At 47.1% G+C, this 23,352-nt stretch overlaps 1 long non-coding RNA gene and 1 pseudogene across 1 annotated transcript in view, besides 1 other annotated feature; one reads left to right on the top strand and one right to left on the bottom strand.

Moving 5' to 3' along the window:
- Positions 1 to 23,352, bottom strand: part of LOC112268090 (uncharacterized) — a 51,420-nt gene that overhangs the window by 26,881 nt on the left and 1,187 nt on the right. Inside the window, exons 4-5 of the long non-coding RNA XR_007063199.1 lie at positions 20,845 to 20,906; positions 17,055 to 17,193 (exon numbers count right to left, since the gene is read on the bottom strand). This is a non-coding gene — a long non-coding RNA (uncharacterized LOC112268090). The remainder of the gene's footprint in view (positions 1 to 17,054; positions 17,194 to 20,844; positions 20,907 to 23,352) is intronic.
- Positions 1,924 to 14,135, top strand: ENPP7P5 (ectonucleotide pyrophosphatase/phosphodiesterase 7 pseudogene 5; annotated as a pseudogene).
- Positions 16,176 to 16,736: an enhancer, noted in NCBI's record as "H3K27ac-H3K4me1 hESC enhancer chr12:8404422-8404982 (GRCh37/hg19 assembly coordinates)". NCBI's record gives its function as "activates a minimal SCP1, AML or CMV promoter by ChIP-STARR-seq in primed H9 embryonic stem cells {active_cell/tissue: H9 hESC(primed)}" and the evidence as "EXISTENCE:reporter gene assay evidence [ECO:0000049][PMID:30033119]".

The raw sequence follows: 23,352 nt of genomic DNA, 5'->3' as shown, positions 1-23,352 counted from the left end.
AAGGGCTCAGAAGGGAAGAATGTGGTCCCTTTAAATGATATGGAAGTGAGGAAGGGAAGTACTGGGTAGAGGAGGGTGTGGTCCCTGGCTAGGGCTCCACCCCAGGGCCTGTTCCCACGGACCTAGGTGAGGACAGGCATTTTTGTTTTCCTGCCCAAATGTTGCATTTCCCAAGACCACCCTGGCTGCCACACCCCCATTCTGTGCCTATGAAAACCCTGAGACCCTAGCAGACAGACACACAGGCAGTTGGACTTTGAGAGGAGCACATCAGCGGAGGAACACAAGGGTGCTGGACGTCAAGAGGAACGCACCAATGGGCACCGGCACACCGTAGGCCACTGACTGCGGAACAACCCAGAGTTTGGCTGGGACAGTCGGAGAAGAGTCAGGCCACTCACCCGACTCCAGGGGTAAACCATCTCCCTTCTGGCTCCCCCATCTGCTGAGAGATACTTCCACTCAATAAAACCTTGCACTCTCAAGCCTGTAATCCCAGCACTCTGGGAGGCCGAGGCGGGCAGATCATGAGGTCAGGAGATCCAGACCATCCTGGCTAACAGAGTGAAACCCCGTCTCTACTAAAAATACAAAAAAATTAGCCGGGCGTGGTGGCGGGCACCTGTAGTCCCAGCTACTCGGGAGGCTGAGGCAGGAGAATGGCGTGAACCCAGGAGTCGGAGCTTGCAGTGAGCTGAGATCGCACCACTTCCGGTACACCAAGACAAGAACCCCGGGACAAAGAGAGCCCTCTGTCCTTGCAATAAGGCGGGGGTCTAATTGAGCTGACTAACACAAGCTACCTACAGATGGCTAAACTAAAAGAGCACCCTGTAACACACACCCACTGGAGCTTCAACTATAAACATTCACCCCTGGACACTGCCATGGGGCTCCCTGCCTGTCTGCATGCTCCCCTAGAGGTTTGAGCAGTGGGGCACTGAAGAAGCAAACCACACCCGCATCGCATACCCTTCAAGGGGTACAATGGAACTTTTCCCATTTCATCGGAGAGGCCAAGGCAGGAGGATCACTTGAGCCCATGAGTGTGAGACCAGCCTGCACAACATAGCAAGACCCCATCTCTACAAAAAAAAAGTAAACAAAAAAAAATAAACATTAAAAATTAGCGAGCTGTGGTGGCACACACCTGTAGTCTCAGCTACTCAGGAGGCTGATGTGGAAGGATTGCTTGAGCCCAGGAGGTTGAGGCTGCAGTGAGCCAAGATTGAACCACTGCACTCCAGCCTGGGCGACAGAGTGACACCCTGTTTCGACAACAACAAAAGGAATGGAACAAAATAACTTCTCAAATAGCTAGCAGAGGCAGATCTGGTTCTCAAATGCAGGTTTTCCAGGTTTCAATTCTTATTTCTAGCAGTATTATGGAGAAACATGATCACTAATACATGAAGGAGAGGAGGTTTCAAGTTCTGATGAAAAGATGGTAAACAGAGGAGTTAGTTGACTAGGAGTGACTAGGAATTGGAAGAAAACGCATGATACCACTTAGAGGAAAGAAGAAAAATAAGCATAGAGGTGACTGAGCAGACAGAAAGGACTTGGAATAAGCGTGGCTGGCCCTGTCTCTGCATTTTTTCCCTTGCATTAGTAACTTCCCTGATGACTTGGATGAATCTTCTCTTCAGGGCACCTCGTGTTCCCTTTCTGTCCACTTCTCCTTTCCCAGGGCCCATACAGTCTGGGGAAGCATGCTCTGCAGGCTTCTCATCTTTCCTTCCTTAATCAGCCCCTAGCATCTCTACATAACCGATATACACCTGGAGTTCCACATGTCCCAGTCTTTGCACTGCAGTGAATTCAAAGAATGGTAGACTCTAGCTGGGCACAGGGGCTCACATCTGTAATCCCAGCACTTTGTGGGGCTGAGGCAGGTGGATCACTTGAGCCCAGGAGTTCAAGACCAGGTCTGGCCAACATGGTGAAACCCCATCTCTACTAAAAATACAAAAATTAGCTGGGCTTGGTGGTACATGGCCTGTAGTCCCAGATACTGGGGAGGCTGAGGCGGAAGAATTACTTGAACTCAGGAGGCAGAGGTTGCAGTGAGCTGAGATCGTGCCACTGCACTCCAGCAGCCTGGGCAACAGAACAAGGCCCAGTCTCAAAAAAACACAAAGACAAAACTAAACCAAAAAAAAAAAAAAAAAAAAAACACGCACACACACACAAAAAAACAAAGGTAGACTCCAATAGGAAAAATTCACTCAAAAGCAATTCAAATAATTATTCAGTCAACCCAGTTCTATCTCAGTTCTTTATTATATATATAAACTTATTCTGTCCAGATTCTCTAGTTTTCTTTTTCTTATCTTTTTTGTTTTCTTTTGAGACAGGTCCTCACTCTGTCAGCCAGGCTAGAGTATAGTGGCACAATCATGGCTCACTGCAGCCTCAACCTCCTGGGCTGAAGTAGTTCTCCCACCTCAGCCTCCCAAGTAACTGGGACTACAGGTGCATGCCACCATGCTCCGTAAGTTTTTGTATATTTTGTAGAAACGGGGTCTCACTATGTGGGCCAGGCTGTTCTTGAACTCCTGGACTCAAGAAGTCCACCTGCCTCAGCCTCCCAAAGTGCCAAGATTACAAGCATGAGCCACTGCATCTGGCTGATTCCTTCGTTTTCTTTTTCTCTTTGCCCATTGCTTGGATTCCATAAGCAGAAGGAAAACCCAGGGGCTGACTTTGTAGGCAAGACTCTTTCCTTTTCAAAACATAAATTGGTTCAAGTGGTACCAAAACTGAAACATGTTTACAACTTAACATCTTTTCTTCCTAACCCTTCAATCTCTTGAGCAATGAGAAAAGACACTGGGCTCTTTATTTGTGTAGGGAAAAGAAAGAGAGATCAAACTGTCACTGTGTCTATGTAGAAACGGAAGACATAAGAGTCTCCATTTTGAAAAAGACCTGTACTTTAAACAATTGCTTTGCTTAGATGTTGTTCATTTGTAGCTTTGCCCCAGCCACTTTGCCCCAGCCACTTTGACCCAACTTGGAGCTCACAAAAACATGTGTTGTATAAAATCAAGGTTTAAGGGATCTAGGGCCGTGCAGGACGTGCCTTGTGAACAAAATATTTATGAGCAGTATACTCAGTAAAAGTCATTGTCATTCTCTAGTCTCAATAAACCAGGGGCATAATGCAACGTGGAAAGCAGAAGGGACCTCTGCCCTTGAAAGCAGGGTATTGTCCAAGGTTTCTCCCCATGTGATAGTCTGAGATATGCCCTTGTGGGATGAGAAAGACCTGACTGTCCCCCAGCCTGACACCCGTAAAGGGTCTGTGCTGAGGTGGATTAGTCAAAGAGGAAAGCCTCTTGCAGTTGAGATGGAGGAAGGCCACTGTCTCCTGCTTGCCCCTGGGAACTGAATGTCTCAGTGTAAAACCCGATTGTACATTTGTTCAACTCTGAGCTAGGAGAAAAGCTGCCCTGTGGCGGGAGACGAGACATGTTGGCAGTAGTGCTGCCTTGTTATTCTTTACTCCGCTGAGATGTTTGGGTGGAGAGAAACATAAATCTGGCCTACGTGCACGTCCAGTTATAGTACCTTCCCTTGAACTTAATTATGATATAGATTCTTTTGCTCACATGTTTTTTGTTGACCTTCTCCTTATTATCACCCTGCTCTCCTACTACATTCCTTTTTGCTGAAATAATGAAAATCATGATCAACAAAAACTGAGGGAACTCAGAGGCCGGTGCCAGTGCAGGTCCTTGGTGTGCTGAGTGCCGGTCCCCTGGACCCACTGTTGTTTCTCTATACTTTGTCTCTGTGTCTTATTTCTTTTCTCTGTCTCTCATCCCACCCGACTAGAAATACCCACAAGTGTGGAGGGGCAGGCCACTCCTTCGATTTGGTGACACATAGCCTGTGCCCTCAAAGAACACTGACACCCCAGTAACATCCATTCAAAGAGCTTCTCCATACCTCCCCTCCTTTATCCCCAAGGACACTGGGTCAGACATCACGGAGTCATTCACAACATGATGTTTAACACCGAGACGCTCTGCAATTGCTCCTTCAAGACGACTCAGAAGAAGAACCAGTGCTGAGAAAATCGTGTTCTCTCTCTCTCTGGATCACCGCCCAGAGACAAGGACTGCCAGAGACCCTGGCTTCCCCAGCTGCTACCTCTCATTCCTGTGCCTGTGGGATGAGAGTTCGAAGCTGTGTGACCTTGACCAAGTTACTTACCCTCTCTAAGCATATGTTTCCCTAAATGTGAAATAGGGATGATGGTGATGTGTTTATTTCACAGATTTGATAGAAGGATTAAATGAGAGATGCATCAAAAGCAGTGGGCACAGGGTCAATGCTCAGTGAGCTTTCTCTTTTCTTATCAATAGACAGGTCTTCATGAGGACAGAGACTGGCTTCATCTCGACTGTAGCCTCAGGGCTGGCCACCATGTCTGCACCCAGCAGGACTTCAGTAAATATCTGTTTATACACTAACCGCAGACTTAGGCATAAAAGCCCTTTGGAAGAAAGTTGACCATTTCATGCACCTTCAGACTATGAAGAGCAATGATGACAACTTTAGCTTGAGAGGGTCTCAGTGCCCATTCATCACCACTGTGAAAAGGCAGAAACCAGAGCTGTGTGTTTAACTCCCAGCCCCAAAACCTGTTGGCTTTGCTTTATCACTATGAACTTCCAATGCTATCCCTTAAGAATGGGACCTCTCTCTTCTTCCCCAAGGCACCAGCCTTCACCCCAGACCCATCCTTATTAGCTGGTGGCTCCTGTCTGTACTCTGAGCCCATGCTGTGCTCGTCAGATAGCAACATGGGAGAATATAGCAGCCCAGAATGCAGGCTGCAGAGTTAGGTCCCCAGAACAGGATCTCAGCCGGCTCCATCCTTCCTCAGCTGGGCGACCGTGGCCATTGACTTCCTCTCTATGCCTCAGTTGCTCCATCTGTGAAATGAAGATTGTCACAGTCCCTTCTTCAAAGAGTCACTGGGAGGATTAACTGAGAAAATGCAGGGAAGGTGCTTGGAACTAAATGCTCAAAAAAAGTCCATCTGGCCAGGCACGGTGTCTCACGCCTGTAATCCCAGCACTTCGGGAGACCGAGGCAGGTGGGTCACTTGAGGTCAGGAATTCAAGACCAGCCTGGTCAACATGGCAAAACCCTGACTCTACTAAAAATACAAAAATTAGCCAGGCATGGTGGCAGGCACCTGTAATCCCAGCTACTTGGGAGGCTGAGGCATGAGAATCTTTTGAACCTGGGAGACAGAGGTTGCAGTGAGCTGAAATGGTGCCACTGCACTCCAGCATGGGCAACAAGAGCAAAACTCTGTCTCAAAAAAAAAAAAAGTCCATCATTCTTATTAATGGAGGCCAAATCATCTCAGCCTTTCTTTGGATGATCAGTCCCCTCCAAGCCAGTGTTATCCAATAGACCAGAGGTCCCCATCCCCCAGACCACAGACCAGTAGTGGTCTGTGGCCTGTTAGGAACTGGGCTGCACAGAAGGAGGTGAGCAGTGGGCTAATGAGTGAAGCTTCATCTGTATTTACAGCTGCTCCCCATGGCTAGCGTTACTGCCTGAGCTCTGTCTCCTGTTAGATCAGCAGCGGCATTAGATTCTGATAGGAGCACCAACCCTATTGTGAACTGCATGTGGAAGGGATCTAGGTTGTGTGCTCCTTATGAGAATCTAATGCCTGATGATCTGTCACTGTCTCCCACCACCAGGAGATGGGATTAACTAGTTGCAGGAAAACAAGCTCAGGGCTCCCACTGATTCTACATTATGGTGAGTTGTATAATGATTTCATTATATATTATAATGTTCATAACAATAAAGTACATAATAAATGTAATGCTCTTGAATCATCCTGAAACTTCCCCCCACAAATACATGGAAACTGGTCCTTGGTGCTAAAAAAAATTGGGGACCACTGCAATAGACTATTCAGTCATGGTCCAATCAAACATTCTGCAATGGCGGACTTGCTCTACTCTGCACTGTCCAACATGGGAGCTGCTAGCCACCCACATGGGCTGTTGAGCCCTTGAAATGTGGCTGGTGAGAATGAAGAACTGAATTTTCAATTTTCTCTTAACTAATTTTTTTTTTTTTTTTCTGAGACAGAGTCTCACTCTATCCTCCAGGCTGGAGGGCAGTGGCGCAATCTCGTCTCACTGCAACTTCCATCTCCCGGGTTCAAGCAATTCTCCTGCCTCAGCCTCCTGAGTAGCCAGGATTACAGGAACCCGCCATCATGCCCGGCTAATTTTTGTATTTTTGTAGAGACGAGATTTCACCATGTTGGCCAGGCTGATCTTGAACCCCTGACCTCAGGTGATCTGCCCAACTTGGCCTCCCAAAATGCTGGGATTACAGGTGTGCCACCATGCCTGGCCTCAATTCATTTCTAAATCACAAAATCTAAACAACAAGTGGCTAGGAGCTACCATAGTGTACAAGGCAGCTGTAGAATTACAGGAAATTGCCAATGACCCTGTCCTGCTTCAAGTTGACTTTTCTCCCTCATGGTGAGACTCCAGATTCTTTCCTCTTCTCTCACATTTTTTAGACTTTTAGGATTAGACCATGAAAATAAGTTCTGTCCTTCCAAGAAAATAACGTTCATAACACTTACTGTGTACCAGGCTGATTTCAGTGCTTTACATGTATTAATTTACAACAACTCTGAGGCAGGAGCTGTGATTATGCCCATTTAACAGATGACAAAACTGAGGCACAAAGCAGTGCTGGAACTTCTCAAAGTCACACAGGTAGCAGGAGGCAGAGCTCGGATTTGAACTAGCTTTGTGTTCAGCAACTCACAGCTCTCACCTATGACATAATATTACTTCTGTGGTCAAAACACTTATACCTGGATTTCACAGGAATCTTGTGCTTGCCTGGCTGCTAGGAAGGTTTTCATCATCTTCCTTATCTCACAGTTCAAAACCCATGGCCTCCCTGCTCTTGCTATGGTGGCCGTTCACTGGCAGGAGGCTTCTGGGAAGGTTCTCCTTTTCTGTCATTTTTCTTATTCGTGGTTTTTGGTCTCATTGGTGTTTATCTGCAGAACTTTGTTTCCTTCTGCTCAATTCATAATCAGAGTGCTTTTCCTCCTGGCTCAATTCATAAGTGTTTGTGCAAAAAGAGGTTGGCGCAGAGCCAGGCGACTGACAACACCCGGCTCATCTGGCAAGTGGATATCAAATTGTTGTATCTCGTTCTGCCATTCACAGCTCCTGCTGTGGGGCTGGGTCATCTGCCAGCTCTCCAAGGAGCTGGCGGGAAACTGCTGCAATCAGAGCGAACCCACAGCCCGGGTGAGCCCGCCTCGGCACAGCACTCCAGCTGTGGGACACATCTCCATTGCCAGGCAGGGCTGTGGGAGGGCCGCCTGCCGCCTGTCCATCACAGGGAAAACCTATCCTTGTCCCGCGTCCTTTCCAGGCAGCCTGTGTGGGGATTGCTGTATTCACCTTTAATATGGCTAAAATGATTTCCTTCAATGACAGTAATGCTGCCAGAACCCATCAAGATACCCAGGAACTGATGTGCCTTGGCAGATGATGCTGGAAAGATGGGATTCCCGACAGCCTTTGCATCTGTTGCTCACAGCCCACGAGCATCTCCACTGTCCAGCAGGTCAGGGCACGGTCTCTCTCTCTCTCTCTCTCACGGTCTCTCTCTCTCACGGTCAGGGCAGAAAGAGAGAGAGTCCATCTGGAGCAGACTCGGATTTTAAATGACTGTGCCCGATATTTTAACATGATCAATGGCTGAGGTATTTCACCAAGTTCAGGAGTCCCAGTTCTCAGAGAGAGGCACCAGCCATGACTGTAAGACCTGGGCAAACCGTACAAACCAGACAGCAGGTCTCACCCCTCCCCAGAGAGCTCCAGAGAGTATCAAAGAGTGAAACAGCAGAGGGATGGTCTGGGTGGGGTCATCGTGGCTGGCAAGGGTCTGTGACAGCACCTTGTTAGGCTACTCCCAAGAGGAAATTTGGACAGAAGGTGGGAGGGCAGCTCTCAGTGCAAGCCAAGTCTCCTGGAAAGTAACTTCCAAACTTTGGAGGATTGTGAGCAAGATGGGACCAGCAACTTCTACCTAAAAGAATGTTAATAGCAAGATAACTCATCCTAATATTGGTCCAAGCTAGGTCTTTATTATGTATCATAAAGGCTCAGAGAATAACAATGTAACCTCCAAAAGGGCTGCGGGCTTTGAGGAATCTCAGGCAACTCGCTTCCTTCTGCTCAGTGACTCCCCTGGAGCACAGCAAAGCAAGGAAACGCGTAGAGCCAAGCTTGAGTTCTGAATTTCAAATACAGGGCGTCCATCTCTTTCTACCCATTGTTCCCTAGAATCAGTAACTAACTCCTTCCCCTTAACGGCACATACTTCCTACCAAAGCACAAGCGCGATGGGCTGTCCATGAGCCTCCCCAAAATGTGTGCACCTTGTGATATAAATTCTGTCACCGAAAGAGACCAGACAAAATGCAAAACCAAAGAGGAGCCTTTCCTTGAATTATAGGTTCTAAAGAGTTTTGGAACCTCTACAAAGCCCAAGAGTTAGGAATTGCCTGGAAGAAGCACCAGCTCTTGTTTTAAAGAGGCAATTTAAGAATAATAGTCATGCTGATGCCACACTACGCTACGGGAGAATAATGAACCTAATAAAACTAGCGATTTTCCAATTGCTTTTCCTGCTGGAAACACTGATTATGCTAACTAAAGGGTAGAATAGTAAATAGCCACTATTTTGCATCCAATTAAGTATTCAGATTATTTCTCAGAAGTATTTGTTGAAAATAGCACTTCTGATAATCATGGGTCGCAAATAAACAGAGTCAAGTGTGGTGTGGTACATGTCTGAGCGTGTGCGTGTGCACACATGTGTCTTTCTGGAGCTCATTTTATGGAGATCCCGCATAGCTCCCCAAATTCCTATGAGACCAAATAAGAAAAATCACAGTTTCCTAAGACTACTTAGGGATATCTTTGGAAAAGGTGTGTATTGAGAACACAGCATATGGAAACTATTTCACGTTAGCAATATCTGTGATTTAACATTGCAAACATTAGAAATACAACCGGTTCTTCAGAGCCACCTAAGCCCCTCATAATGGCAATATTAGCTTTTTCTAAATAATAAATTAGCCAGTCAAACTGTGTTCTACAGCATGTTAGAAGTTTCATACTTCTAGTCAATGTCACATTTCAAGGCAAAGTCGATTTATATGTAAGTTAAACGAAGTGCTGTCACTAAAAATTGAGAATTATGTCTAATGCCAATCAGAAATGGAATAAATAAGTATTAGAAGATTTGTGAGTTAAAGCAACCATAGAAATGCTATCATCAGGAAGGAAAATGTATTACCTGCAGAGGTTACACATAGGACGCTAGAACCCAGAAGAGAAAGAATCTCTGTAAATATTTCCGTTAAGTTAATCAAGAGTGGCTGGGTATGGTGGCTCATGCCTGTAATCCCAGGACTTTGGGAGGCCAAAGCAGGTGGATCACGAGGTCAGGATTTCGAGACCAGCCTGGCCAATATGGTGAAACCCTGTCTCTATTAAAAATACAAAAAATTAGCCGGGCATGGTGGTATACACCTGTAATCCCAGCTACATAGGAGGCTGAGGCAGGAGAATTGCTTTAATCCAGAAGGCAGAGGTTGCAGCTAGCTGAGATCACACCATTGCACTCCAGCCTGGGTAACAGATCACGACTCCAATTTGAAAAAAAAAAGAAAGAAAGAAAGAAAGAAAGAAAGAAAGAAAGAAAGAAAGAAAGAAAGAAAGAAAGAAAGTTAATCAGGGTGAGAATAGGATGAGTTTTTCATCCACAAAAGGAGATGAGATTCATGCATTCTTTCAACATGCAGTCCATCAATAGTGAGCACCTGCTCTGAGCTAGGCCCTTCCTAGGTCCCAGGAAATGGGTAACCAACCAGACATGGCCCCTGATTTGGAGCTCACATTTTAGAGCAGCTAAATGGACAATAAACAAGTAAGCAAATGAGGATCATCTTAAATTGGGGGAAGTTCTTTAGAGAAGCACTTCCATAAAGCTGAATCGCATCATAGACTATGAATGCCAGGTGGTAGGGAAGGTAATATCTCACCTGCTTGTGGATAGCAGCACTTCTGAGGCCTTGCAAAGTATTTAGTACTAAGATTTCTGTCTTAGGTCAAGTTCCCTAAAAGCAGAGCCTGAGGCAAGGATTGAGTGCATGTAATTCATTCAGGAAGAACTCTCAGGAGATAGGAGTAAGGAAAACAGGATATGGCAGGGAAGGAGCTAAGTGAGATGTGGTCTCAGCTGGAGACCGGCTCCAGTCTGATCTCACAGGGAGCTCCAGAGGATGAACTGCACCACCATGTTATCCCAGCCTCAGGTCTTTTGTTCTCCTGTGTCAGCCGGTCCCTGGCCAAGGGCTGCAGACTCTCTCGGGGCCCCAGCAGACCGGAGGAGAAGGAGCATGGTCTGTGGTCTACTCTTCTGTGCACACCCACCCACCTCTTCTCCAGCTGACACTGCTGGAGGAGGAGAGGGAGAGATGTCATCTCCTCCTATGGCAACCTGTGGGATGGCAATGGCCCTTTTCCTGTTGGGTGTAATCTGCTGCCATCTCTTGCTGTCTGCAGCCTGACACAGAAGGGTGAAGGTCACCAGGTTCCACTGACAGGGGTCTTTATCTCAAGCAGCAACCCGAGGACCGAGGGTCCCTTGCAAGATTCAGCCACATTTCATGACTGTCTGCAATACGCCCCATGCCTCTGATGGAAGGAACCCAATGCCCCATGCTGCACTCATTTCTGTCAGACTAGGGTCCCTGATCTCAATTTCCCTCTGCAGTCCCCAACTCTGGGGCCTGCAGACACATTTCAGATCCCTCCTTAGTACCTCCCAGGAGGCAGAAGCCAGAGGAAATAATCCTTGTCCCAAAGCCCCTGACCATGCCACCTCACTGCAAGCTCTTTCTCCCTCTCCTGGAAAAATCAAGCTCGTTGAATACTTACCAATATGCCCACATGCATTTAGTCCCCATAACCACTTCTTGGGGCAGAATTACCATCCCCAAGTTACAGATGAGGAAACTGAGGAGAGCATTTATATAACATGCATCTAAGTGGTGGACAAAGGATCTAACCAGGCAGTGCGGCACCAGAGCACCCATTTTTGTTGTTCAGAGAGATGGGGTCTCTCTCTGTCCCTCAAACTGGAGTGCAGTGGCCTGATCATAGCTCACTGAAGCCTTGAACTCCCGAGCTCCAGCAATCTTCCCGCCTCAGCCTCCCGAGTAGCTGGGACTAGAGGCATTCACCACCAACCCAGCTAATTTTTAAAAAACATTTTTGTAGATATGGGGTCTGATTCCAAACTCCTGACTTCAAGCGATCCTCCTGCCTCAGCCTCCCAAAGTGCTGGGATTACTGTCGTGAGCCTCTGCACCCAGCCCAGAGCACACTTTTTTTTTTTTTTTTGAGATGGAGTCTCACTCTGTCACCCAGGCTGGAGTACAGTGGCAAAATCTCGGCCCAGAGCACACTTTTAACCACCATATCATTCTGCCTCTGGGTAGGTTAGTCAAGCTCTGTAGCTGATCAGATGTCTGTGGAGAGAAAGAGACATCAGTCTCCCCTTCTTCCAAACACCCCCAAATTTTACAAGTGATTTTCTCAGATCCCTCAGCATCAGGAATGGGGATGTGCAGGGCAGCCTGTCCCCTTCTCAACAGCCCAGCAGATATCCCAAGATTACATCTCATTGGCTCTGACTAGGACATGAGCCCAAAGCTGACCAGTTGCTGTAGCCATGGCATGCAGCACCCTCGGTCCTCTGGCCAGGCCAGAGCTACATCCCACCTCTGGATCCTCGGGTTGAGTCAATACATCTTGAACCAGGCGCGGACTGAATCTCAAGGGGGAGTCAGAGTAATGTGACCCAGCCCAGCAGGAAGTGGGTGCTGAGCAGGCAAGCATTCATCACCCACTGCACACACCAGGAAAGGCTTGTGGTGGCTTAGTCCCACCTGGAGGCAAAGAAAAGAGTGCCTGCTCCATGCCAAAATGTGAAGCCCAACACTGTATCTTAAAGCTAGCTGGCTTTGTAATCCCAGCCACTTGGGAGGCTGAGTCAGGAGAACCACTTGAATCCAGGAGGCGGAGGTTGCAGTGAGCCAAGATCACGCCATTGCACTCCAGCCTGGGTGACAAGAGAGAAATTCTGTCTCCAAAAAATAAAAAATAAAAATAAAAAAATAAAAAGCTAGCCTGCTTAATGCTCACAAAGATGCCATCTACTTTTTGGCATTCTACAGGTAGAAACACTGAGACACGGAGACACTGGGAGATTTTAAAACTCACCACCAGCCGGGCACGGTGTCTCATGCCTGTAATCCCAGCACTTTGAGAGGCTGAGGCAGGAGAATTACTTGAACCCAGGAGTTCAGGACCAGCCTGGGCAAATTAGTGAGACCTCATCTCTACAAATATTAAAAAAAAAAAAAATTAGGGCTAGGTGCGGTGGCTCACACATGTAATCCCAGCACTTTGGGAGGCCAAGGCAAGTGGATCACTTCAGCCCAGGGATTCGAAACCAGCCTGGCCAACACGACAAAAGTCTATCTCAACTAAAAATACAAAACTTAGCTGGGCATAGTGGCACAAGTCTATAATCCCAGCTACTTGGGAGGCTGAGGCACGAGAATTGCTTGAACCCAGGAGTCAGAGGTTGCAGTGAGCTGAGATTGTGCCACTGCACTCCAACCTAGGTGACAGAGTGAGACCGTGTCTCAAAAAAAAAAAAAAAAAATAGGTATGGTGGCACATGCCTGTGGCCGCAGCTACTCAAGAGGCTGAGGTGGCAGGATCACTTAAGCCCAGGAGTTCAAGGGTGCAATGGGCTATGATTGAACCACTGTGCCACTATATATACACAGGTATACATATATATGTCTGTATATATATACACATATATATACATGTATATGTGTATATATGTGTGTGTGTATATATATATGTATATATATATAACACACATGCACAAATTCACCAGCACCAACTCAGAAATTACCATCTCCCTCTATTCTAAGGAAGTATTTTTCATTTTGCCATCTCTGAAGTTGGAATACACCTTACAATCACTGGAATGTCACGGTCTCATTGGCAGCATTTTTCTGCTTAGTAGCCCATAAAATAATAGCACATCTTGTAACTAACAGTGTTGTAGATGCTATGAGATCCTGGGGAAGCCCAGAATCTAACTCCACCCTGTCTGACTTCAAAGACCACATATTTTCTATGCCTTTGGACTGGGGCACAGATGTAGACAACTCGAGCTTTGCTGATTGTGAGAAAGGTATGGGAAATGGCCCTGATGGAATTTTCTTCTTGTACTTGCAGGGGAACAGAGCGGCATCATTCCACTGTTCCAGGGGAGGTGCTAAATATGAGGGTGAGGTTGTCAAGCGGTCCCTGGTGGAGTCCTACACTCACCCAAACAGCAGCGAGACAGAGCAGAGGGAGAACATCAATACCGTCATGAACTGGTTCACCAAGGAAGACTTTGACTTTGTGACACTGAGCTACAGAGAGCCAGATAACGTGGGACATTGATTCGGGCCAGAGGCAGAGAACAGCAAGTTGATGATTCAGCAAATCGACAGGACCATCGGGTATCTGGTGGGAGCCACTGAGAAGCACAGCCTGCAGAGCACCTCAGCATCATCATCACATGAGACCGTGGGATGACCACCGTGAAGAAGAGACCCAATGTCAACAAGATCCCTTGTCCAACTACATGAAGTTCAGGGACTTGGTCAAGTTTGATATTGTGGGCTACAGTGGCTTTGGGATGCCCCTGCCCAAATTGGGGCAAGAGGAAACCCTTTACCAGGCACTGAAGAATGCATACCCTCGCCTCCACACCTACAAGAAGGAGGAGCTTCCAGAACACTTCCATCTTGCTAAACATGACCGGGTTCTGCCAATTGTGATGTATGCCAACTCTGGTTACAGTATCAATAGGGTAAGTTCATTCTAAAATGAATAAAGTCACCTTAGATCTAGGAGACAACCATTAGGGAAGGGTGGTTCTGCAAAAATCAAACATAAGTGCACAGCCAGGCACGGTGGCTCACGCCTATAATCCCAGCACTTTGGGAGGCTGAGGCAGGTGTATCACCTGAGGTCAGGAGTTTGAGACCAGCCTGGCCAACATGGTGAAACCCCAGCTCTACTAAAAATACAAAAACTAGCCAGGCGTGGTGGCGCACATCTGTAGTTCCAGCTGCTCTGGAGGCTGAGTCAGGAGAATCGCTTGAACCTGGGAGGCAGAGGTTACAGTGAGCCAAGATCATGCTACTGCACTCCAGTCTGGGCAACAGAGTGAGACCCTGTCTCAAAAAAAATAATAATATAATATAATATAATATAATATAATATAATATAACAAAACAAAACAAAATAAAATAAAATAAGTGCACACACTATGAGTTGTAGCCCACAGGGTCCTAAATGTTCCCCACCCCCCATCCAACCAATGCTGCCACAAGTTACCGTTATACAAGATTAATGACCAATTCAACTTGACAAGGCTGATTTAAAAATAAAAATAAGGCTGGCCATGGTGGTTCACACCTGTAATCTCAGTGTTTTGGGAGGCCAAGACAGGAGGATTGCTTAAGGCCAGGAGTTCAAGACCAGCCCAGGCAACATAGGGAGACCCCCATCTCTACAAAAAACTAACAAATAAATAAATAGCCAGACATGGCGATGCATGCCTGTAGTCCCAGCTACTCAGGAGGCTGAGGTGGCAGGATTTCTTGAGCCCAGGAGGTCAAGGCTGCACTAAGATGTGATTGCACTACTGCACTCCAGCTGGAGCAACAGTGCAAGACCCCGTCTCTAAAAAATAAATAAATGATAAAAAATAAACACCAACTTCATTATTCAAAATTGTGCACAGTGCTTCACTAAACATAGAACAGCAGTTCTTTCATTTTTGTCTTCCCAACAACCCTATAAAATAGATGCTCTTAGTTCCGCCATTTTAAAGAAGAAATCAAAACCTAGAGAGAAGTGACTTGAGATTAAAAATGTAAGGTTGGGCTGGGTGCAGTGGCTCACACCTGTAATCCCAGCACTTTAGAAGGCTAACGTAGGTATATTGCTTGAGCCCAGGAGTTTGAGACCAGCCTAGGCAACACAGTGAAACACCGTCTCTATAAAAAATGCAAAAAATGTAGCTGGGCGTAGTAGCACGTGCCTGTGGTCCCAGCAACTCAGGAGGCTGAGGTGGGAGAACTGCTTGAGCCCGGGGGTGTTGAGTCTGCAGTGAGCCATGATCACGCCACTGTGAGATAGGAGGCAGGACTTGACTCCACAGGCAGGGCTTGGACACCAGACCAAATTGAGGACTAGCTAAAACAGGGCTGGGGCAGAAGCAGCTTTCCATCAGAGATGCCCACCACTGTGCCATGTGAGTTTACTATTGCCAAGGTAACACCAGGGAGTTACTGCCCCTTTCCATGGCAATGACCCAATGACTCAAAAGTTACTACCCATTTTCTAGAAATTCCTGCATAAACTGCCCTTTAATCTGCATGCAATTAAAAGTGAGTATAAATGTGATTGCAGACTCTCTGCCGCTACTCTCTGCCTCCAGGGTAACCCTGCCCTACAGGAGCAGTCACAGGGCTGTAATGCTGCCTCTTCAATAAAGCTGTTTTCTTCTAAACCTCTGGCTTGCCCTTGAATTCTTTCCTGGGTAAAGACAAGAACCCTCACGTGCTATTGAGAGGTGACAGCATGCTGGCAGCCCTCGAGCTCACTCTCGGCACCTCCTCTGCCTAGGCTCCCACTTTGGTGGCACTTGAGGAGCCCTTCAGCGCATGGCTGCACTGTGGGAGCCCCTTCCTGGGCTGGCCGAGGCTGGAGCCGACTCCCTCAGCTTGCGGGGAGGTGTAGAGGGAGAGGCGTGGGCAGGAACCGGGGCTGGGCACGGCGCTTGCGGGCCAGTGCGAGTTCCAGGTGGGCATGGGCTCACTGGGCCCTGCACTCGGAGTGGCTCGCCGGCCCCGCTGGACTCGGGTAGTGAGGGGCTTAGCACCTGGGCCAGCAGCTGCTTTGCTCAATTTCTCACTGGGCCTTAGCTGCTTCCCTGCAGGTCAGGGCTCGGGACATGCAGCCCGCCATGCCTGAGCCTCCACCCAACCCGCCGTGGGCTCCTGCGTGACCTGAGCCTCCCCGATGAGTACCGAGCCTCCCCGATGAGCACCGAGCCTCCCCGATGAGCACCGCCCCCTGCTCCAGGGCACCCAGTCCCTTCAACCACCCAAGGGCTGAGGAGTGCCAGCACAGGGCATGGGACTGGCAGGCAGCTCCACCTGCAGCCCCCATGTGGGACCCACTTGGTGAAGCCAGCTGGGCTCCTGAGTCTGGTGGGGACTTTGAGAACCTTTATGTCTAGCTAAGGGATTGTAAATACACCAATTGGCACTCTGTATCTAGCTTAAGGTTTGTAAACACACCAATCAGCACCGTGTCTAGCTCAGGGTTTGTGAATGCACAAGTCGACACTCTGTATCTAGCTAATCTAGTAGGGACTTGGAGAACTTTTGTGTCTAGCTCAGGGATTGTAAATGCACCAGTCAGCACCCTGTCAAAACAGACCCATCAGCTCTCTGTAACACAGACCAATCGGCTCTCTGTAAAATGGACCAATGAGCAGGATGTGGGTGGCGCCAGATAAGGGAGTAAAACCAGGCTGCCCCAGCCAGCAGTGGCAACACACTGGGGTCCGTTTCCAAACTGTGGAAGCTTTGTTCTTTTGCTCTTTGTAATAAATCTTGCTGCTGCTCACTCTTTGGGTCCACACTGCCTTTACGAGCTGTAACACTCACCTCGAAGGTCTGCAGCTTCACTCCTGAAGCCAGCGAGACCACAAACCCACCAGAAGGAAGAAACTCTGAACATATCCGAGCATCAGAAGGAATAAACTCCAGACACGCCGCCTTTAAGAACTGTGACACTCACCGCGAGGGTCCGCGGCTTCATTCTTGAAGTCAGTGAGACCAAGAACCCACCAGTTCCGGACACGCTATGCTCCACTTCGGGGCTCCCCTGCCCTGCGTCAACTGCACTCTGGCCTGGGTGGCAGAGAGAGAGACCCTATCTTTAAAAAAAGAAAGAAATGTAAGGTTAAGTGCTGCCCCCAAGCCTGAGTGGCTGATCATTATACAGAGTACACGAAGATCACCGAAAAAGTCACCACAGAGGCCCCCTGCCGCTGGTTCTCTTTTGCCCATATCAAAAAATATGCAAGCCTGTTCATACAAAGACACACACAGATGCTCGTAGCAAAATTATTCATAATTGTCAAAAGGTGGCAACAACACAAATGTCTATCAACAACAGATGAATAAGCAAACAAGTACAGTCCACCCGTGTGATGGAACATTAATCAGCCACAATATGGAATGAAGGGCTGATTCATGCTACAACCTGGATACACCTTGAAACCGTTAGGCTAAGTGAGAGAAGCCAGACAAATATTAGATGATTCTATATATATATATATGCCCAGAATATGAAAATCCAAAGAAACAGAAAGTAGATTAATGGTTGCCAGGAGCCAGGGGTGGGGACAGTCAGGGGGAAATAAGGGGTAACTGCTAATGGATACAGGGTTTCTTCTGGGGTAATTAAAATTTCTAAAATTGATGGTGATGATGGCTGCCCAACTCTGTGAATATATTAAAAACCACTGAATTATGCACTTTATTTATGTATTTAGAGAGAGGGTCTGGCTCTGTTGTCCAGGCTGGAGTGCAGTGGTGCAATCTCAACTCACTGCACCCTCCACCTCCTGGGCTCAAACCATCCTCCCACTTCAGCCTCCTGAGTAGCTGGGACTACAGACACACACCACCATGCCCAGCTAATTTTTTTGTATTTTTGGTCGAGACAGGGTTTTGCCATATTGCTCGGGCTCATCTCAAACTCTTGGGTTCAAGCGATCCTCCCACCTCAGCCTCCCAAAGTGCTGGGATTACAAGTGTGAGCCACCATGCCCGGCCAAATGATACACTTTAAATGGGCAAATTGTATGGTATGTGAATTATCTTTCAATAAAGCTGTTATTAAAAAGCAGCTTTAAGGGCCAGACATAAGGGCCATGCCTGTAATCCCAGAACTTTGAGAGGCCAAGGCAGGAGGATCACTTGAGCCCAGGAGTTCAAGACCAGCCTAGACAACATGGCAAAACCTGGTATCTAAAAAAAATTAAAAATTAGGCTTGGCGTGGTTGCTCACGCCTGTAACCCCAGCACTTTGGGAGGCTGAGGTAGGTGGATCACTTGAGGTCAGGAGTTCAAGACCAGGCTGGCCAACATGGTGAAACCCTGTCGCTACTAAAAATATTTTTTAAAAATTAGCCAGGCATGGTGGTGGGTGCCGAGGCTGAGGCAGAAGAATGGCTTGAACCCGAGAGGTGGAGGTTGCAGTGAGCCAAGATTACGCCACTGCACTCCAACCTGCTGGGCGACAGAGCAAAACTCCATTTCAAAAAAAAAAATTAAAAATTAAAAATTAGCCAGCTGTGGTGGCTCGTGTTTGTAGTCCCAGCTACTCAGGAGGCTAAAGTGGGAGGATTGCTTGAGCCCAGGAGGTTGACGCTGCAGTGAGCCAAGATTGTGTCACTGCAGTCTGGCCTCAGCAACAGAACAAGACCCTGTTTCACAATTTTAAAAGCAATTAAAAAAAAAAGCATAAAGAAAACACAAAAACCAATGCTAACTGTAAGACATAAATGAGGTGGTCTATTTTTGTTAACTACCAACTAACAATTCATGGCAGACACAAATTTTAAATGATGCTATAGCCGGGTGCTGTGGCTCATGCCAGTAATCCCAACACTTTGGGAGGCTGAGGCGGGTGGATCACCTGAAGTCAGGAGTTTGAGACCAGCCCGGTCAACATGGTGAAACCACGTCTCTACTAAAAATACAAAAATTAGCCGGGCGTGGTGGCAGGTGCCTATAATCCCAGCTACTCGGGAGGCTGAGGCAGGAGAATCGCTTGAACCCCGAGGGGGCGGAAGTTGCAGTGAGCCAAGATCGCACCATTGCACTCCAGCCTGGGCGACAGAGTGAAACTCCATCTCAAAAAATAAATAAATAATGAAATAAATGATGCTATAAACCTCATGTGAGGGAAGACTGTCCCAGGTACAGCTTGAAGAAGCCTTGCTGTGAATAGGAGCCAAATGCAATAACTATGTTTGCAACTTGCTTCATGTTAGCTTGTTGCGACTCCAGAGTGTAACAGGTATGAGAAAACTCATGGGGTTACTGTTTAATGTTGGTGGAAATATTCACATTAAAATACAACAGTTTATCACCTAAGGTATATTTTATCCCTCAAGTGGCCCAGAACACTGTGATTATTGCACACCAATCGCACGCCCGTAGCAAAGGCCTTGCCAAGGAGAAATTCCACAATCACCTGGCCTATTTGTAAACCTGGTTTATGACGTTTTGTAACAGGATATCTTGACAGTAGCATGAGGACATTTAACGAGGCAAGAACATTCCCCACTGACCAACCAGATGGTTTGAGGGAACAGGATGCAGTGCTCAGTTTAATCTTCTGCTGGACCGACCATTAGGCAGAAAATCCTTTGGGTCAATGCCTCTCACTGAATCCACTTCTCAGATTCCTGTCCACCTGCCTGCTTTGCAGTGCAGAGTAAAGTGGGCCTTCCTTGACTCTCTTCAGGGACCAACGTGCTTGAGGCCATCATGAGGACATTCATTCTTTTTTTTTTTTTTCTTGAGAGAGTCTCACTCTGTCGCCCAGGCTGGAATGCAGTGGTGTGATCTCAGCTCCCCACTGCAACTTGTGCCTCCCAAGTTCAAGTGATTCTCCTGCCTCAGCCTCCTGAGTAGCTGGGATTACAGGGACGTATCACCAGGCCCAGCTAATTTTTCTATTTTTTGTAGAAATAGGGTTTCACAATGTTGGCCATGCTGGTGTCGAACTCCTGACTTCAAGTGATCCACCTGCCTCGGCCTCCCAAAGTGCTGGTATTACAGGTGTGAGCCAACGTGCCTGGCAGAGGGCTTTTATTCTTGATGGACTGCTCCATAGCCTCAGAGACAGTCGGACTGGTTTCTTCAACCAGAGCGGAGCAGACAGGCAATTTCTGTATCCACCAGGACAAATATTAGACCAACTCTTCAATGTACAGAGAGCATCACGTTTCTTATATGCTAGAATATCTGTTGGTCTAAAATATAAATAAATAGTATTGTAGCCAGCCACAGGGGCTCACACCTATAATTCCAGAGCTTTGTGGGGCTGAGGCAGGAGGTTCATTTGAGGTCAAGAGTTCGAGACCAGCCTGGGCAACATAGCAAGACACCCCCCAAGACACCCCCCCCACCGCCACCTGCCATCTCTGCAAAAATTAAAATAATTAGCTGGGCACAGTAGTGTGGGCCTGTAGTCCCAACTACTTGGGAAGCTGATGTGGGTGGATCGCTTGAGCCCAGGAATTTGAGGCTGCAGTGGGCTATGACTGCATCACTGTACTCCAGCTAGACCTTGTCTCAAAAAAAAAAAAAAAAAAGTGTTGCAATTGACATTACTTTATCATTTGAAAAGAGGGACAGACAAGAAAGGTATTTGGCATTTACCAAGCAATTACCCAGAATCCTCATCCCATCCTACACCCACCCTTCCCCTAAAAATGTATGTATATGTTTTTATGCCATAAAAAATACATCTGTTTGGCTCTGGAACCAGATTGCTTGGGTTCAGTTACCTGATCTAGCATTTGCTCCTGATGACTCAGTGCAGAAAAGCTCTGTAACTCAGTTTCCCCAGCTGTAAAATGGGGAATGGCGACTTTACTGGGCTGCCATGAGGGTAAAGGAGGTAACATATATTTATAAAGAATTCAGAACAATTCATGATACATAGTAAGCTCTATATATTTCAGCTTATTATTACTGTCAGTACGATTATCATCATCTTGCTGTTTCCAATGGGTACGCTTTCTACATTCTCTTTCTTAAAGACCTTTAAATCCTTGGTATTCTCTCCACCACCACAGAGAGCAGTGTCCTTGTAGTTTAAATTTTCAAAGACTTCATGGATCCAATAAGCATGACATTAACTAAGGGTCAGTTTTCTTTCAGTGGATTGGAATCTAAAATGGCTTTTTTATTGTTATTATTGCCCAGGCTGGTCTCGAACTCCTGACTTCAAGTGATCCCCCCACCTCACCCTCCCAAAGTGTGCTGAGATTACAGGCATGAGCCACCATGCCCGGCCCTCATTCTCTTCTTTTATAAGGACACCAGTCATTGCATCTGCCCCCTCACCAGCAGCTCCCAATCCAGGATGACTCACTGTTACTTGATTACATCTAGAAAGACCCTATTTCCAAATAAGGTCACATTCCTGTGTACTGAGGATTAAGATTTCCAATTTTTTCCCTGACTCAATTTTTTTTTGAGTCAGGGCCTCACCCTGTCACCCAGGCTGGAGTACAGTTCTGTGATTATAGCTCACTGCAGCCTCAAACTCTTGGGCTCAAGGGATCCCCTGACCTCAGTCTTCCAAGTGGCTGAGACTACAGGCGCACACCATCATGCCCGACTAATTTTTTTTTGTTTTTTTGTGGGTTTTTTTGTACAGGTTAGGTCTCACTCTGTTGACCAGGCTGGTCTGACCTCAAGCGATTCTCTTGCCTTGGCCTCCCAAAGCAGTGGGATTACAGGCGTTATCCCATGCCTGACCCTCTTTCTACATCTCAATCATTGCATCATTAGCCTGAGCTGCCCATATCCCTTATTCTGCCCATCCCTGACCAACCTCCTCCTTTAACATAACTTCCACCTCGATATGATGGGGCCTGCTGGGCACTGCAAACAGCCTAAGGAAAGTGGAAACTTTACTTAACCTTAAATTCTCTTACAAAGTCCACATTGAAAGTAATTTATATTTGAACTACAAAAATTTTCTGTAAGTTGAAACATGACCTATAAAGGTCTCTACACCCTGAAGCAACGATTTAGAAAGAAATCAATTGGTCCTTTTCTGCAGAAATCATTAACCATAGGAGAGATAAAGGAAAAACTTCAAGGTACTGATTGAACTTCCATGCCCATAGCTTAACTTCTAAAAGGCAACCATTCCATACTGTTAAACTGCCTTAGGTTGTTATTACTGTTATTAAAGACACCCTCAAAGCCAGAAGTTGAATCTTGACTGTAGTTCTTGCACATACACGCACACTCTCGCAATTGAAACCACTCAGATTGTCCTAATGCTGCTACCCATAGCAACACCACCTGGAATTTTACGTTTGTTTTTAAGCATCCGTCGTAATCTTCACTTGCTCCTGAACACATCGCACCTGTGAGAACCACGTGACATTAAAAAAATCCCTTCAGTGAGGCCGGGCATGGTGGCTCACGCCTGTAATCCCAGCCCTTTGGGAGGCCAAGGCAGGTGGATCATGATGTCAAGAGATTGAGACCATCCTGGCCAACATGGTAAAACCCTGTCTCTACTAAAATTACAAAAATTAGCTGGGCATGGTGACGCGTGCCTGTAGTCCCAGCTACTCCAGAGGCTGAGGCAGGAGAATCGCTTGAGCCCGGGAGGCAGAGGTTGCAGTGAGCTGAGATCCTGCCACTGCACTCCAGCCTGGCAACAGAGGGAGACTGTCTAAAACAAAAAAATCCCTTCAGTGCCTTGATCCTTCCAGATTCAGATCCAAGAGAGATGACATTTGTTCATCACCAGAGACTGCACACCAAGATAAAGATTTCTTCTGGCCGGGCGCGGTGGGTCACGCCTGTAATCCCAGCACCTTGGGAGGCAGAGGTGGGTGGATAACCTGAGGTCAGGAATTTGAGACCAGCCTGGCCAACGTGTTCAAACCCTGTCTCTACTAAAAATACAAGTGGCCCGGCAGGGTGGCTCACGCCTGTAATCCCAGCTACTCGGGAGGCTGAGGCAGGAGAATCGCTTGAACCTGGGAGGTGGAGGTTGCAGTGAGCCAAGATCGCACCATTGCACTCCAGCCTGGGCAACAAGAGAGCAAAACTCCGTCTCCAAAAAAAAAAGAAAAAAAGATTTCTTCTGTGTGCATGGCTCAGCTCTGTGGTCCACTAGCGTCCTTCCTCAGTCTGCTTCCAATCTATGGACTCAGGAAAGACTGAACCAACCTAGATTTATTAATATTTTAGTATAACATAATACAATGTTACTTACTATGGCATTGACCATATATGCCCTTTTGCTCCTTGGAGGAAAGACA

The sequence above is a fragment of the Homo sapiens genome, chromosome 12, assembly GCF_000001405.40.
Source record: "Homo sapiens chromosome 12, GRCh38.p14 Primary Assembly".
NCBI classification, from domain to species: Eukaryota; Metazoa; Chordata; class Mammalia; order Primates; family Hominidae; genus Homo; species Homo sapiens.
Note: the sequence above shows the minus strand (reverse complement) of the source record. Positions and strands in the feature narration are given on the sequence as shown.